This window comes from Homo sapiens, chromosome 16 (assembly GCF_000001405.40).
Source record: "Homo sapiens chromosome 16, GRCh38.p14 Primary Assembly".
Lineage (NCBI taxonomy): Eukaryota > Metazoa > Chordata > Mammalia > Primates > Hominidae > Homo > Homo sapiens.
Window position 1 is genome coordinate 17,191,064 of NC_000016.10, and position 15,307 is coordinate 17,206,370.

The following is a 15,307-nucleotide window of genomic DNA, read 5'->3' on the forward strand; positions in this document are numbered from 1 at the left end:
GCAGCCTGAAGCCATGGTTTTTAGTTTCTGTCTCTAGTGATAAGCAGAAAAGAGGGATGAGGAAGGGGCTTTACTGGCCCAACCAAGAAAAGAAACTGAGGAGCCATAACTGTATTCTCTCCCTCAGACATCCCTGAATTGTAAAGCACTTAGAATAATGCTAGGAATGTACGAAGTGCTACATATACATTTGCTGTGGTTGCTGTGCGGTCTTAACTACAGGAATTCTTTGACCTATTCGGGTTCCACTTTAGCAGACTAAAGGGATGTGATCTGTACGCAGATGCAGTGACTGTACATGGATGCTTGGACTTCCATACTGCTCATCTTCATTTCAAATCCCAGAGTGACTGGGATCTGTGCTGAACATTATCAAGGGCTTGACTTCCCTGCAAAGCTTCCTCTGCTCTGTGTTAATACTAATTTCTCTAAACTTACTTACCAAGTAGCAGTTGTGTTTTGGGGGATGGGATTAAGAAGAAATATGTGGTAAAGGGCCCTGAAGAGGGCCCAGCACACAGTAGGTGTGCAGTAAGTGTCTGCTCTGTTAGTCTGGGGGTTAGTCTTGCTCAATTGGTCCCATATAAACTCTGGTCTTCGGGAGACTGTAGAGAAGCCCTGGCCACCTGTTCCTGTCTTTACCAGCTGGTGTTTCCTACTGAGGCGCCATGGAGCAGCTCTCTCATGTTCTCAGCCTGCGGCTCTGGTAGTATCTCAAGACAGACATTTGGATCTGCAGTTAATGTAACTTACATGTCCATGTGGTGGGCCCTGATAGTTTGGACTTTGTTGATGTGGATACCCAAGAGGCAGAAGTAGCAGGAAAATGTCAACATGGTTTCCCCTGCCTGGTTTCTGTATACATACACTGCCCCACATGTGCAAACGTGTGTACACACCACAGACTGAATGTGAACCCCGGGAGGGGCCAAGGACACACTCAACCCTCCTCTCTTTACATCTGATTTGCCCCAAGACACCGGACTTAGGAAAAGACACAGTGTGAGGCGTGAGGTCTCTCTCTCTCTCTTTTTTTTTTTTTTTTTTTTTTTTAGATGGAGTTTCACTCCTGCTGCCCGGGCTGGAGTGCAATGTCATGATCTCAGCTCTCTACCACCTCTGCCTCCTGGGTTCAAGTGATTCTCCTGTCTCAGCCTCCCAAGTAGCTGGGATTACAGGCGCCCGCCACCACACCCAGCTACTTTTTGTATTTTTAGTAGAGATGGGGTTTTACCATATCGGCCAGGCTGGTCTCAGACTCCTGACCTCAGGTGATCCACCCATCTTGGCCTCCCAAAGTGCTGGTGGCATTACAGGCATGAGCCACCACACCCAGCCGAGGTCTCTTACTACAAGTCCAAGCCAAGAAACAGGGCAAAGTGCTATTGGCTTCATCTCTTCCTGCAGCCAATCTAAAGTAGGCCAGGTATAATTCCTTGCCTCGGTAAATAGAACATACGAATAAAACCATCATACCTTTCGAGGATTCAAGATCTAGCAGGGCCTCAGAGTTTGAAAGTATCCATTTTCCACTTTCATCCACGTGCTGGGTACACAACCAGCTCCAGCTGGAGCCTACGTGGACCAGGATGTCATGTCAACAGCAGAGCAGGAGCACCTAGAGTCTCTAAACACTCTCAGCTTGCGTATGCCAAGTTCAGGAATATTCTTCATGTCCACAAGTGAATTGGATCTATTCTGTTTTTCTTGAAACAGTCTCACGTCTATCTTTGCTTTTCCCACCCTTTTTTTTTTTTTTTTTTTTTTTAGACAGCGTCTCAGTCTGTCACCCAGGCTGGAGCGCGGTGGTACGATCTCGGCTCATTGCAGCCTCTGCCTCCCGAGTTCAAGTGAGTCTCATGCCTCAGCCTCATGAGTAGCTGGGGTTACAGGTATGCACAACCATGCCTGGCTAATTTTTGTATTTTTAGTTGAGTCGGGGTTTCATCATGTTGGCCAGGCTGGTCTCGAACCCCTAACCTCAAGTGATCCACCTGCCTTGGCCTCCCAAAGTCCTGGGATTACAGTTGTGTGCCACCGTGCTTGGCCCACTTTTCCCTCTTTTGACAGAGATGTGAGTTCAAGAAATACTTTGCTACTCTTTTAACTCTATCAAAGAGAAAAGGGAAAGTAACTCAAGTCCCACAGTTACTTATAGCCATGGAGTAATTTGGGCATTTATCAACCACTTTCTGTCATTAGACGCTGTGGTAGGTCCTTATCATGCAAGATTTCATTGAAACTTCCTAAGAACCCTCCGAAATAGGCACTAATATTGTGTTTATTTTAAGGTAGAGAATTTGAGATGCAGAAAGTTGAAGCAACTTGCCCAGTTGGTGGTGGGGCAGAATCTGAAACCAGGATGTCTGCGTCCAGGGCCTAAACAAGGCTAGTGACCAGTAAACACCAGTGCATCTTTAATATCTAAGAGAGGAAGAATCTGCCCACACCCCCCCACCCCCCACAGTGAGGGTTGTGCAGGGGACACAGGGAGGTGACGTCAAATCACAGAGCAGCTCACAGTGGCTACGTCGGGCTGGCTGGACCCTTAAGTATCCCCCAAGTTTTCAGTGCCTCTTAGAAGTGCCTGACTTGGGCACTACCGCCCCTTTGAGAAGACTCCTAAGTTTGCTCATTCTTTCTGGGATGGGAGAAGTAGTGGTTTTGGAAGCTACAGATGGGGCGGCAGATGGAAACTGAAAACCTATCAGCATTGCCCAGGATGAAACCATTCATCTGCAAAATTCATATGTTTTTGTGTAGGGCAACTTCATGAAAACAACAGCAAGAGGAACCAGCAGTGCTTGATGCATAAAGTGCCTCTGGCTATGAGGCTGGCAAAGAAGAGTGGGCAAAGGAATTCGTGGGAGGCACCATGGAAATGAGATCAGTGAAGTAGAGGAAGATGATGAGAAAGGCCAAGAGACACAGAGTGACCTGGGGCACTAAAGCAAAAAAGCCACAAATAAGACAACTCTCTTTTCTGAACCCCAAAATAGGTTGCACGCATGGCCTGAGAAAGGATTTCTGGGCCTCTCAGAGATACAAGATGAGACCTTGGATGTACCTTACGTATAAATGGCTGACATTCATGGAGCACCTTCCAAGTGTCCGGCAGGCTGCTAGGTTCTATTATTGTATCCTGATTTCACAGAAATTGGATTTACTTGCCCGCGGTCACGCTGCTAGCTAAGTGGCAGAACTCAGATTCGAGCCGTAAGCAGTTTGACGAGAGTGCAGGCACTCACCCTCCCGGGTGCTGAGCCGAGCTGGACTCTTTAGGGGAGGTGGCCACGCAAAGCAAGCCAACAATGGCCTCTAGGGGGCAGCAATGCGCATGCCTACCTGGCCTCAAGTGGTCTTGGGCTTAATGCGGGCCCCCAACCTAGGCTGGCATGACCTCTGAGGCCTCCACTGGGAATCCAGAGAAGGAAGAATGTGGGAACTTTGAGCACAGCCCCTAAGACTGAGGAACAGACAATGGGGGTCCTCCCAGGACCATCCTGGACATCCCTGCTGCAGGCAGTCCAGCCACTACTCCACCCCGCCACAAGCTCATGGGGTGGGACTGTTTCCTTCTGTGCTTTCAAGGTGGCCTGGGGCCATCCTGCCAGTCCAGTTCTGCTGATTTCCCTAAGAGGCCGACTAAAAGCCAGAAGGAATACCAACTTTGCAACCAGACGAAACTGGTTCTAATCCCCACTCTGCCATGCATTCATCACATGACATTGGGCCTCAGTTTGCCCCTCTGTAAAACAGGTTTGTTGTAAGGGTTGAAACAAGTGTCTGCCACACTAGCTGCTATGCTCAGCATTTTGGGACATTTCCAAACTCGGTCCCTTCATGGAAGATGGAGAGGGAATGTTCTAACCCCTCCTTGCCATGTACTTGTCTAAACTCACTTCTCCTCATTCTTTTATTATACTCTATCCATTGTTTAAATTTCTCAAACGCAACAAGTTTGTTTCTGTGCTACATTGTGCCCAGGCTGTTCCCTCTATAAGAAACGGTGATTCTCAAGTGGAGACAATTTTAGCTCCCAGAGGTCACGAGTCAATGTCTGGAGACATCTGTGGTTGGCAAAAGTGGGCAGGGTGTGTTCCTGGCATCTAGTGGGTAGAGGCCAGAGATGATGCTACGCATCCTGCAATGCACAGGATGGCACCCACAGTAAAGAATTATCCATCCCCAAACATCAGCAGTGCCACTGCTAGGAATCCCAGTATAGAAGGATCTCTTTCTTATTTCCCTCCCAATGGATCCCTTCTTGTCTTCTAGGTCTCGGTTCAAAGCTGAATATTCAGAGGCCTTTCTGACCTCCTGCTTATGGCCCTCGAGTTTTTCTCCACACCCACATCTTCCTTTTTTTTTGTTGTTTTTTGTTTGTTTGTTTGTTTTTTTGAGATAGAGTCTTGCTGTGTCGCCAGGCTGGAGTACAGTGGCGCGATATCGGCTCACTACAACCTCCACCTCCTGGGTTCAAGCGATTCTCCTGCCTCAGCCTCCCAAGTAGGGGGGATTACAGGCACGCACCACCATGCCCGGCTCATTTTTGTATTTTTAGTAGAGATGGGGTTTCACCATCTTGGCCAGGCTGGTCTTGAACTCCTGACCTTGTGATCCACCTGCCTTGGCCTCTCAAAGTGCTGGGATTACAGGTGTGAGCCACTGCACCCGGCCCACATCTTCCTTGCTTTATGGCTTGTTCACACCTTGCATGATGTATCTTTGGCATGATCATCTAACTCCATCTTCTCAGCTAGGATACACATTCCATGAGCAGAGGAGAAGTACAGGAAGCTGCATCACTTTTGTTCACAAAATGCACTACTTCGAATGTAGCACGGTAGTTGCTCAGTAAATGTTTGTTGAACAAATGAACAAAATTGTGGTAAGTAAAATTCTACCAGCAATGTTCTATAACCATTCCCGTTTATCCCTCTGTCTTATGGACAAAAGAAAACAGTTGTCTTTCTAGTGCCTGTCATTTTTCTCAGGTTCAAGGATGTCAGGTGTACCCCATTCAAACTGACCAGAGATTGTGCCTCCCCAGTACCTTCTGCAGTCTAGGGTCTCCCAGCAGATGGTGGGATGCCCCCAAGCCTAGGAATGAAGAAGACCCCCAGTGACCAAGCTGTGAAGAAGAAAGCAGCCACTTCTAGCTTTAAAGAGAGGTAGGTCTTCCTTCCATGCTTGTACCTTGTTTGGGTTCTGATTCAAAACTCAAACTCTTGGGAATATGTGACCTAGATATTTGATGCCATTAAAACATGCCTGCTAATATTTTAGGTATAAGCATCATTGTGATGCTGTCTTAAAAAAGAGATCTTATCTTTTCTAGATATATACTGAAATATTTATAGATACAATTCTGTGATATCTTATATTTCTTTCAAAATAACCCACTGTTGGGGGAAGAGGATGAAAGTCCAGATACAAGAACAATGGCCATGAATTAACCTGGGTGACATCCACGTGGGAGTTCATTACACTATTCTCTTGGTACTCTTGTGCATGTTTGAAAGTTGCCTTAATAAAAGTTTTATTTTTTTAGGACCCCTTCATCTAGGTCTCCTGGGAATGCTGAACCCTATGGCCTCATGCCATCAGAGGGAGGAAGATCCCCCTCTTCACCCCCATCCACTTTCCTTTTCACCCTTGTCAGCAAATCCAGATGGAAAACACAGTCAAAGGAAAAAGCTGCCCTCTCAAGAGAAAATAACAGCCTGGCACGATGGCTCACACCTATAATCCCAGCACTTTGGGAGGCCAAGGCAGGCGGATCACCTGGGGCCAGGAGTTTGAGACCAACATGGTGAAACACCATCTCTATGCTACTTCAGAGGTTGAGGTAGGAGAATCACTTGAACCTGGTGGGTGGAGGCTGCAGCGAGCTAAGATCACACCACTGCACTCCAGCCTGGGTGACAGAGCGAGACTCTGTCTCCAAAATATATATATATATATAGATATATATACCGTTCAGAATATCATTCAAAGTATCATGCCAGTGGCTTCCCTCTTGCTTGGACTAACAGCCAAATTCTAGGATCACCACGATCTGGCCTCAAATTACTCTCTGACTTTATCTCTCTTGTTATGCTACCCCTCACTTACTCTGTTACAGCTCCACTGAACCCTGCTGTTCCTCGCACAGGCCAGGCATGGACCCACCTCTGGGCTCAGCCCCTGCCTTTGCCCCTGCCTGGACCACTTTCTCTGTAGGCGTGACTCTCTTTTTCATCTTCTTCTGTTCTTATCCGTGAAAACCTTCCAGGCCACCGTTGGTAAAATTACAACTGTCCCCTACTTTTGCCCCTTACTTTATTTTTCTAAGATATCATTTAACTTATTTTGTTGTTTGTCTCCCTACTTGAATGGAAGCTTGTGATGGTTACTATTGAGTGTCAACTTGATTGGACTGAAGGATGCAAAGTACTGTTTCTGGCCATGTCTGTGAGGGTGTTGCCAAAGGAGATTAACATTTGAGTCAGTGGACTGGGAAAGGCAGACCCACTCTCAGTCTGGGTGGGCATAATCTAATCAGCTGCCAGCGTGGCCAGAATAAAAGCAGGCAGAACGTGGAAGGAATAAGCTGGCTGAGTCTCCCATGCTGGATGCTTCCTGCCTTTGAACATCAGACTCCAAGTTCTTCAGCTTTGGGATCTTTGGGCCTTCGACCACAGACTGAAGACTGCACTGTGGGCTTCCCTACTTTTGAGGTTTTGAGAATCAGACTGGCTTCCTTGCTCCTCAGCTTGCAGACGGCCTATCGTGAGACCTCGCCTTGTGATTGTGTGAGTCAATACTCCTTAATAAACTCCTCTTTATATATACACCTATCCTGTTAGTTCTGTCCCTCTAGAGAACCCTAATATAAAGCTCCACGCGGGTTGGAGTTTCCGTCTGTTTAGTGCACTGGCATATCAGCTAATAGAGCTGGGAAAACCACGTGCTCAGTCTCTATCTGTTGAATGCATGAATGAATGAGTGAATGAATCAATGATTCTCAGGTCCAATCAGAATCCTATCCTGAGCGATCCTGTGGAGACTATGCATCAGTCTCCTTCTGCCTCGTGAGTTCCCAGCCATGACCAGCCAGAGCAGGACGTCAGACAAGACTGGCTTGGGGCCCTTGGCTGCCTTACCTGATGGGGTAGTCGGCCGCACTCAGGTTGATGAAGAAGTCCCAGGGCCAGTCGGTCATCTCCAGGAGGTCCCGCATGCTCTGCAGGTAGGTGGACAGGAGGCTGGCTCCTCCCCAGATGGTGGCCATTCTCCAGGGGGTGACGCGGACATTGCTGTACTGCCTGGAGACCTGGAGCACTTGCCGATGCAGGTAATTAGAGCGCTTTTCCCAGGAGAGAAAGGGTGATGACAGTCAGTGGCCTAGAAAATACCCAGGCATGCCCCTCACCCCTGTCCCCTCTCTGTGTCTTCCCTCCTGGTTGGGCACTTCTGAGCACAGTGGCCTTTGCCAAGTAAATGATCCTGGACTGGAGTGTCTTTCTGTACTGCAATTCAAACTTGGATTATTTTTTACATTTCAAATTAGCTATTTGAAATGCAGATTCACTGGCCGCACTTCTGAGCTAATGGTTCACTAGGCTTGGGCTGGTGGTGCCTGGGACTTCACATTTTTAAAATTTTATCTTATTTTATTTTATTTTGAGATGGAGTCTTGCTTTATTTATTTACTTAGACAGAGTCTCGCTCCGTCACCCGGGCTGGAACAAAGTGGTGCCATCTCAGCTCACTGCAACCTCCACCACCCAAGTTCAAGCAATTCTCCTGCCTCAGCTTCCCAAGTAGCTGGGATTACAAGTATGCGCCACCACGCCCAGCTAAGTCTTGTATTTTAGTAGAGATGGGGCTTCACCATGTTGGACAGGCTGGTCTGGAACTCCTGACCTCAGGTGATCCGCCCACCTTGGTCTCCCAAAGTGCTGGGATTACAGGCATGAGCCACTGCACCTGGCCAACTTTGCATTCATATACATGACAGCTGCATGGGGTCTGAGGAAGACAAGCTGGGAAATATGGCTCCATCTAAACCCATGTATATTTCGGAGGCAGAATTTTTGTTTTCTGTCCCCACTCCTACTGATTGCTCCTCCATTATCCTCTCACAGGTCTGCTAGAAGCCGACCTTTTGGACAAGACTTCCCCCTTTGCCTTCTTGACTAAAGGCATAATTGTTTCACCAATAGAAACCTCAGGGACAAGGTAGCTCGGGAGTCAGCAGGGCTGATGCAGGTTTTTGTTAATAAAGTTTTATTGGTACACAGCCATGCTCATTTGTTGACATGTTCTCCTTGGCTGCTTTAGCACAAGGGCAGTGCTGAGTAGCTGTGACAGAGACTATGTGCCCTGCAACACCTAAAATATGTACTATCTTGCCTTCCATAGAAAAAGTGTACGCACTCCTGGGATAGTGATATGGTTTGGTTGTGTCCCCACCCAAATCTAATCTTGAATTGTAGCTCCCATAATTCCCACGTGTTATGGGAGGGATCCAGTGGGAGATAACTGAATCACAGGGGTGGTTTCTCCCATACTGTTCTCGTGGTAGTGAATAAGTCTCATGAGATCTGATGGTTTTACACCGGGAAACTTCTTTTGCTTGGCTCTCATTTTTCTCTCTTGCTGCCGCCATGTAAGACTTGCTTTTTGCCTTCCACCAGGATTGTGAGGCTTCCCCAGCTGCTTAGAACTGTGAGTCCATTAAACATCTTTCTTTATAAATTACTCAGTCTCAGGTATGTCTTTATTAGCAGCATGAAAATGGACTAATAAAGGTAAGCTATTCCCACAAAGTATGTGAGAGGCAGGCAGAGGGCATTGGGTAGAGGGGAGAGGTAAGAAACAGCATTTAGGGGCCGGGCACGGTGGCTCACACCTGTAATCCCAGCACTTTGGGAGGCTGAGGCGGGCAGATCACGAGGTCAAGAGATCGAGACCATCCTGGCCAACATGGTGAAACCTTGTCTCTACTAAAAATACAAAAATTAGCCGGGTGTGGTGGCATGCACCTGTAGTCCCAGCTACTTGGGAGGCTGAGGCAGGAAAATTGCTTGAACCCAGGAGGCAGAGGTTGCAGTGAGCGGAGATCATGCCACGGCACTCCAGCCTGGTGACTGAGCGACATTCCATCAAAAAAAAAAGAAAAAAAACCCCCCAAAAACAGCATTTATCATTTATGGACAAAATTGTAAGTCGCAGCTGGAAACTTTGAAACCAACACACACATAGAGACAGCACTCTAGGGCCACACGCTCTGTGGAGAGGCAGCTGGTCAGCTTCCAAGCCTTTTCTGAAAGCAGGCAGTCTGGACTAGCAATGCAGAAGGAGGGTATCAGGGAGGGACGGACAGACCCCGAAGAAAGCCCAGCAAGGGGTGATCACAGAGGCCTCTCACCTTGTCCACGTGGATGTAGTAGAAGTGGTCTTTGTGGTAGATGGCCTTGAACATGCGCTGCAACTGCCGAGAGGCACGGCCGTGGACCACCAGGACAAAGGCGATTCTGACCGGGTTGGCTGGCATGTACTCCACGGAGTCCTCGTCCCACTGCACGTTCTTGTTGGCTTTACCTGGGGAAAATCCAAGAGAACAGAGAGGAGAAAGTGAGGCTCTGCCATCCTTTGCAGGGGTGGGAAGTTTCTCTGGTGCTTCTTTTGGGGACTATTTTAGGGGCACAGTCATCAAATTGGGCCTTAAAACATAATTCAATGCCACAAAGCACATCTTAGATTCTCACACTGTCAGGCACAAAAGGGGTTAGGGGACCCTGGGGTTGTTACGACATAGTTTCCATTCTGAGGAGCTTAAAAATGCTGGAAGAGACACATGGACACATATTAAGCTACTGAACAAGGCAGGAGGAGGTGAGAGCTATAAGAGATGTATCTCTGAATGACAGAGGAAGAAGCAGTTAATTTCGAGTTAGTGAACGTAAGATACATGTGTTGTTTTTGCCTGTCCAGAATTCATTCTCCCTTCTTCTAATAGCATCCAATATATTGTTTGTTTTAACGGTGGTAAGAACAGATAGCATGAAATCTCCCCTCTTAATAAATGTTTAAGTGTACACTACAGTACTGCTGCCTATTAATACAATGTTGTACAGCAGGATCTTTAAATTTACTTGTCCTGCATGACTGAAACTTCATCATCCAATACCTTTTGTGGCATCATCCTCCTCTCCTCTATTCTTAGTCCATATGGGTGGGGAAGACCTAACTTCATCATCAATTTCAGGGGTGGACCTACAGCTTAGGCCTGGCCAATGGGAATGCTGATTCTCCATAGCCACAGTATTGTTTAGAGATGAACATATGACTCAACCAAGTTAATTAACCAATAAGACAGAATGCTAGACTTTTGTTAGAACTACTACATAAGAGAGGTTATCTTTTTTTTTTTTTTTTTGAGACGGAGTCTTACTCTGTTGCCCAGGCTGCAGTGCAGTGGTGCGATCTTGGCTCATTGCAACCTCCACCTCTCAGGTTCAAGTGATTTTCCTGCCTGAGCCTCCTGAGTAGCTGAGATTACAGGCACGCAACACCATGCCTAGCTAATTTTTGTGTTTTTAGTAGAGATGGGGTTTCATCATGTTGGCCAGGCTGGTCTCGGAACTCCTGACCTCAGGTGATCTGCCTACCTTGGCCTCCCAAAGTGCTGGGATTACAGACGTGAGCCACTGTGCCCGGTGAGAGGTTCTTTTTCTGTTACACAGGAGACTAGAAGATTCTATGAGCCTTTCTGTTCCCACACGGAGAGAGGTTGCCTGAGAAGAAAACTAATGTGGAGTACATTGCCAAGGGGGGATGAGGGTCCAGGTGCTTGTGGCCTGCCTTGAGCTCCTGCATCAGTAAGGCTACAGATCACCCACTGTCATCTATCATGTTCTTTTAAATCCAAATCCTATACCACATCCACTTGGATAAATAGTCCCAGACATATTTTATTCCGAAAATCAGCCTCAAAGACTCCTCTCTTTCTTTCTCTTGCTTCAGATAAAAACACAGCTTCCTAGTTTAGTTTATTACAATCCCAACTAGAAATCTCCTAGCTTTCCTCAGCCTGATTTCACTTGGGTCCAACCCAATTTCTTAAGAGTTCTGGGTTTATGGGACCCAGGACATTGTCAGGGTAGTAGCTGCAAGTGTCCCAGCATCTAAACCGGGAGAACTGAGATGGAGACTGTGGGGCTGGGGGATTAGGACATCGGGAGTCTAAGCTGTCATCAGAAGGCTGAATGGTTGCTGAATGAACGAGGCTCTTTCTACGTAGTTCCAGGAGACAAGACAAGATTGACGTAGATAATATCCAAATCACACTACACAGCCTCTATGGCTGGTGTGATCTAACTACTCAGATCTCTCTGCCCTCGATTGGTGGGTCTCACATTCCATCTTGTCCTCTGGCCTTCTTTCTCTTCCTCAAACAAGCTCATTTCTGCCTTAGGACCTTCTCCCTGGCTTCTTGTGATCTGGAACGCCCTCTCCCCAGATCTCTGCGTGGCTGCATCTTCTTGTCATTAGTTCACAGTCCAAAAAGGGGACTCACCACCACCTCTTTTACTCTCTTTCACCTCACCCGCACCTCTTTTACTCTCTTTCACCTCACCGGATTTCAACTTTCTTCATAGCATGTAACACTGTCTGCAATTGTTTATCTGTTTACTTGCTTATTATCTGAACACACCACTAGAACATTAGCTCCAAGAGATGAGGGGCTATTTTGGCCTTGTTTACCACAGAATCTGCAACACTTGAACAGTATCTGACACACATCTGGTTCTCGGTGAAACAAAAGTTACAGGAAGGCACATTTGGGATCAGTAAAATAACAATACCTTTTATTGAGCATTGACCAGCCCTTGACGTTCATTAGATAATTTAATCCTCGTAATGATCCTACAAAGTAATGCTATTATCCCCGCTTTCCAAATGAGGAAACCACAGCTTAGAAGAGGCCAAGGGATTGGCTCAAGGTCACACTGCTTTAATTAGTTAAGCTGAGATTCAAACACAGGTCTGATTCCAAAGATCATGCCCTGAACCACTAATACACACCATATGATCATACCTAGAGTTTGGAAGGAAAAGTTTATAACAATTGCTTTTAGTTGCTTGTTGCTAACCAAATACTTTGTAAGTTAGTTATTGCAGGCAGGTAGGCATGCATTTAAGGACTAACATAGGTATTCCAGTATTTCTGTATTAGATGAGATGCTGATTCTAGGTGATTAATAAGGCTGTATCTTTTCATCCATCCATCTATTCCTCCACCCATCCACCCATTAATTTATTCATCGATCGAAATCCAACCACTCATCCATTCATCCATCCACCATTCCACCCATTTATCCATTTATTTGTCCATCCAAATCCAACCACTAATCTGTCCATCCATCTACCCACCCATTCATCCATCCCTCCACCCATCCACCCATTCATCCATTTATTCATCCATCTAAATCCAACCACTTATCTGTCCATCCATCCACCCACTCATCCATCCCTCCACCCATCCACCCATTCGTTCATGCATTTATTCATCCATCCAAGTCCAACCATTCATCCATTGCTCCACCCATTCATCCATACATCCATTTATTCATCCATCCAAATCTAACTACTCATCTGTCCACTCATCCATATCTAACCATTCATCCATCCAAGCATACAGCAAACCCTCCAACTATGCATCCAGCAAAGCCTCCAAGAGCTTATCATCCCAAACACCATCCATCCACTTAAGGTGTATGGGGCCTTTGAGATTAACCCTTGCTTTTCCCTGTAGCCATGAACATCTTTTGCCATAGTTTTTGAATGAGCAAATTAATGAATGTGTTCTGAAGAAGAGTGGCTGCTCTGATCCAGAGGAGCTGGTGTTTCTTAAGTGCCTCCTATGCATCCATTGTTATTTGACCCTGGGAAGAATGCGTTATCATCCTCTGAGGCTCAGAGAGGTCAGCACATTTCCCAGGTCACACAGTGAGTGAGGACAGAGGTGGGAGGGGAAGCTGAGTGTTGCCGAGTCCAAAGCCAGCCCTGATATTTCCACTTGCTCTCTGCAGAAGTGGAGATTTGCGATATAGAGGATAGGTGTAAGGACTCTATGCTGGTCTTTAAAAAGGGCTTGGATGTTGATGCTGAGGTCTTTTACAACTTCTCTTTAGAGTTTTAAAAGGCAGAACAGATTTACAGACAGACACAGACATGGATGCTTTTCTTTTGGAGAAAGGGCAGAGTCCTGTGAAATCAAAGACAAATCACTCCAGCAAGAGAGCTCCCTTGGCTTAAATATAAAGTCATCTTTGGGTCAGACAGTTAGTCTGGGGAGCTGCAAAGAGAATGGGGAACAAAAAACCCAGAGCTCTTCTGAGTACAGCTATTCTGGGGAAGGGGTGGGTGGGAAGGAACAAAAATATCTAAAGAAAGGAGACATGCAGAGAAGGAGAAATAGAGATGCGGATGGGGATGGGGGGCAGAGGGGGAAGACAGCGAGTCAGGAGAAAGATCAACCATTTACTGAGTGCCTACTATGTGTTAAGCAATTTCTGTGCATGATTTTATTCATTTCTATCAAAACTGCTATGAAAACAGAGCTATTATCTTTCTATTGTAGGCACAAGGAAGCTGAGGCTTGGAGAGGTCCCAGTTATAAAGTAGCTGAGCTGAGAATGGAGTGAGTCTGTGATCCCAGAGCCCTGTCATGGTCACCATGCTCAATCAAACTGTCCTCATTTCAAAAAGAGGAAAATCCGTCCCTAGAGGAAATGTGTCAGCTTTCAGCTGCAGGACAGATATAACAATGACATGTGGTCAGAGCTATGTGGGTCTTTATGAACACGGAACTCTTTGAAAGACCAAAACCCAAACAGTGCCCAGCTCCAAAAAAAAAAAAAAAAAAAAAAAAGAATTTAACAATGTAATCAGATTCCCATGGCACAAAACAGAAAATAAGTGGAAAAATCAGAGTGATTAGAGGCAGCAGGAGAAGCTGACTTCAGATGAATGTTAACAAGCCAGGTTTATCGAGAGAGAATATCAAGTATATTTTTGCAGTGCAGGTGTGAAGGCTGAGGATGATGGGGGGTCCCGGAGAGCTCCCCCAGTAGATAGCTGTGCTGTGTTAGTTCTGTTACTCAAATTCCCTATTTCTTAGCAGCATTGTGGGTCAAACGAGGACTATGTAATCCTTGGGCTCCAAAGACATAGCAGAGATGAAGGTGCTTTGCAAGGGTCAACATGCTGTTCCACTGTTGTGGTGCTGGCAAAGATCATGTTAGCAGTGTCCTGCAATAATGATTTGGGAGGAGAAAGCAAGGTGCAGGGGTTTAGAACATGACCTGTGGTCAGGCAGATGTGAATGACCTTGGACCTTTTATGCAATCTCTCCAAGCCTTAGTATTCTGATCTGTAAAATGGGTATGTATAATCACAGAATCCACCCCACATGGACATTCACATCCAGAAGAGAGAGCACAGTGCCTGGCATCTAGCAAATCCTCAATAAATTATACTGTCATAGCCATCATTTCTATGTGGCTGCTCATCCACGATGATCAGGATTTAACCAACAGGCCCAGCTCCAGAGTTCTACCTCAAAGCTGCACTGACTCCCAGGGCTGTGTGTACTCTAGAGCCTGCTGCTTGTAAATAAACATCTACAACCGGAATTTCCCTCTGCAGCGTATGCCCAGACCACAATTAATAACAAATGTGAAGGAGCTGCTTGACTGGAATAGTTACTCTACCAACAAAGCCCTCGATTCTATTTATACTCTGAAAGGGCTGCTTCCGGCTGCTGCAAGGGGCACTTTCTGACTTACTTCCAACTAAGAGGGTTAGTTGGGTCTTGGGAACACAGAGACATGGAAACAAGGTTGTATGCAAATGAGGCTTGGGTTAGGAAGCTCCCAGCTGGAGCCCAGCTTCTATGCTGCCTGGGAAGGTGTGACTGGGATTCAGAGCTGGGGTGTAGAATGCAACCTTGCACTGTGTGGATTTAGGAAAGACACCGCCCCTCTCTGATTGTCAGTTCTTCATTTACAAAGTGGGAAGAGAGGTCCATCTCTGACCCCGCTGGGTTCCAGGGTGATTCATGATCACAGATGAGGAAAAGTTTCACAGCGGCAGCAGGCGCGTTGCAGAGGAGCGGGATTCGTCTTACTGGGGGAGAAAACCTGCACGCTCAAGGTTCTTTGTTAGATCTGGGTGGGAGATGCCTTTATCCTAGTGGGAAATTTTAAAAGAGGTTTTCTGGTGATTAAACTTGGGAGCTGTCTGGTGCCCA

At 46.5% G+C, this 15,307-nt stretch overlaps 1 protein-coding gene across 3 annotated transcripts in view; it reads right to left on the reverse strand.

The window, feature by feature from the left end:
• Positions 1-15,307, reverse strand: part of XYLT1 (xylosyltransferase 1) — a 369,192-nt gene that overhangs the window by 89,295 nt on the left and 264,590 nt on the right. For all 3 annotated transcript variants that reach the window (XM_047434458.1, NM_022166.4, XM_017023539.3), the window contains 2 exons: positions 9,419-9,591; positions 7,149-7,351 (listed from right to left, as the gene is read on the reverse strand). In XM_047434458.1, the coding sequence (XP_047290414.1) occupies positions 7,149-7,351; positions 9,419-9,591 (376 nt within the window). The remainder of the gene's footprint in view (positions 1-7,148; positions 7,352-9,418; positions 9,592-15,307) is intronic.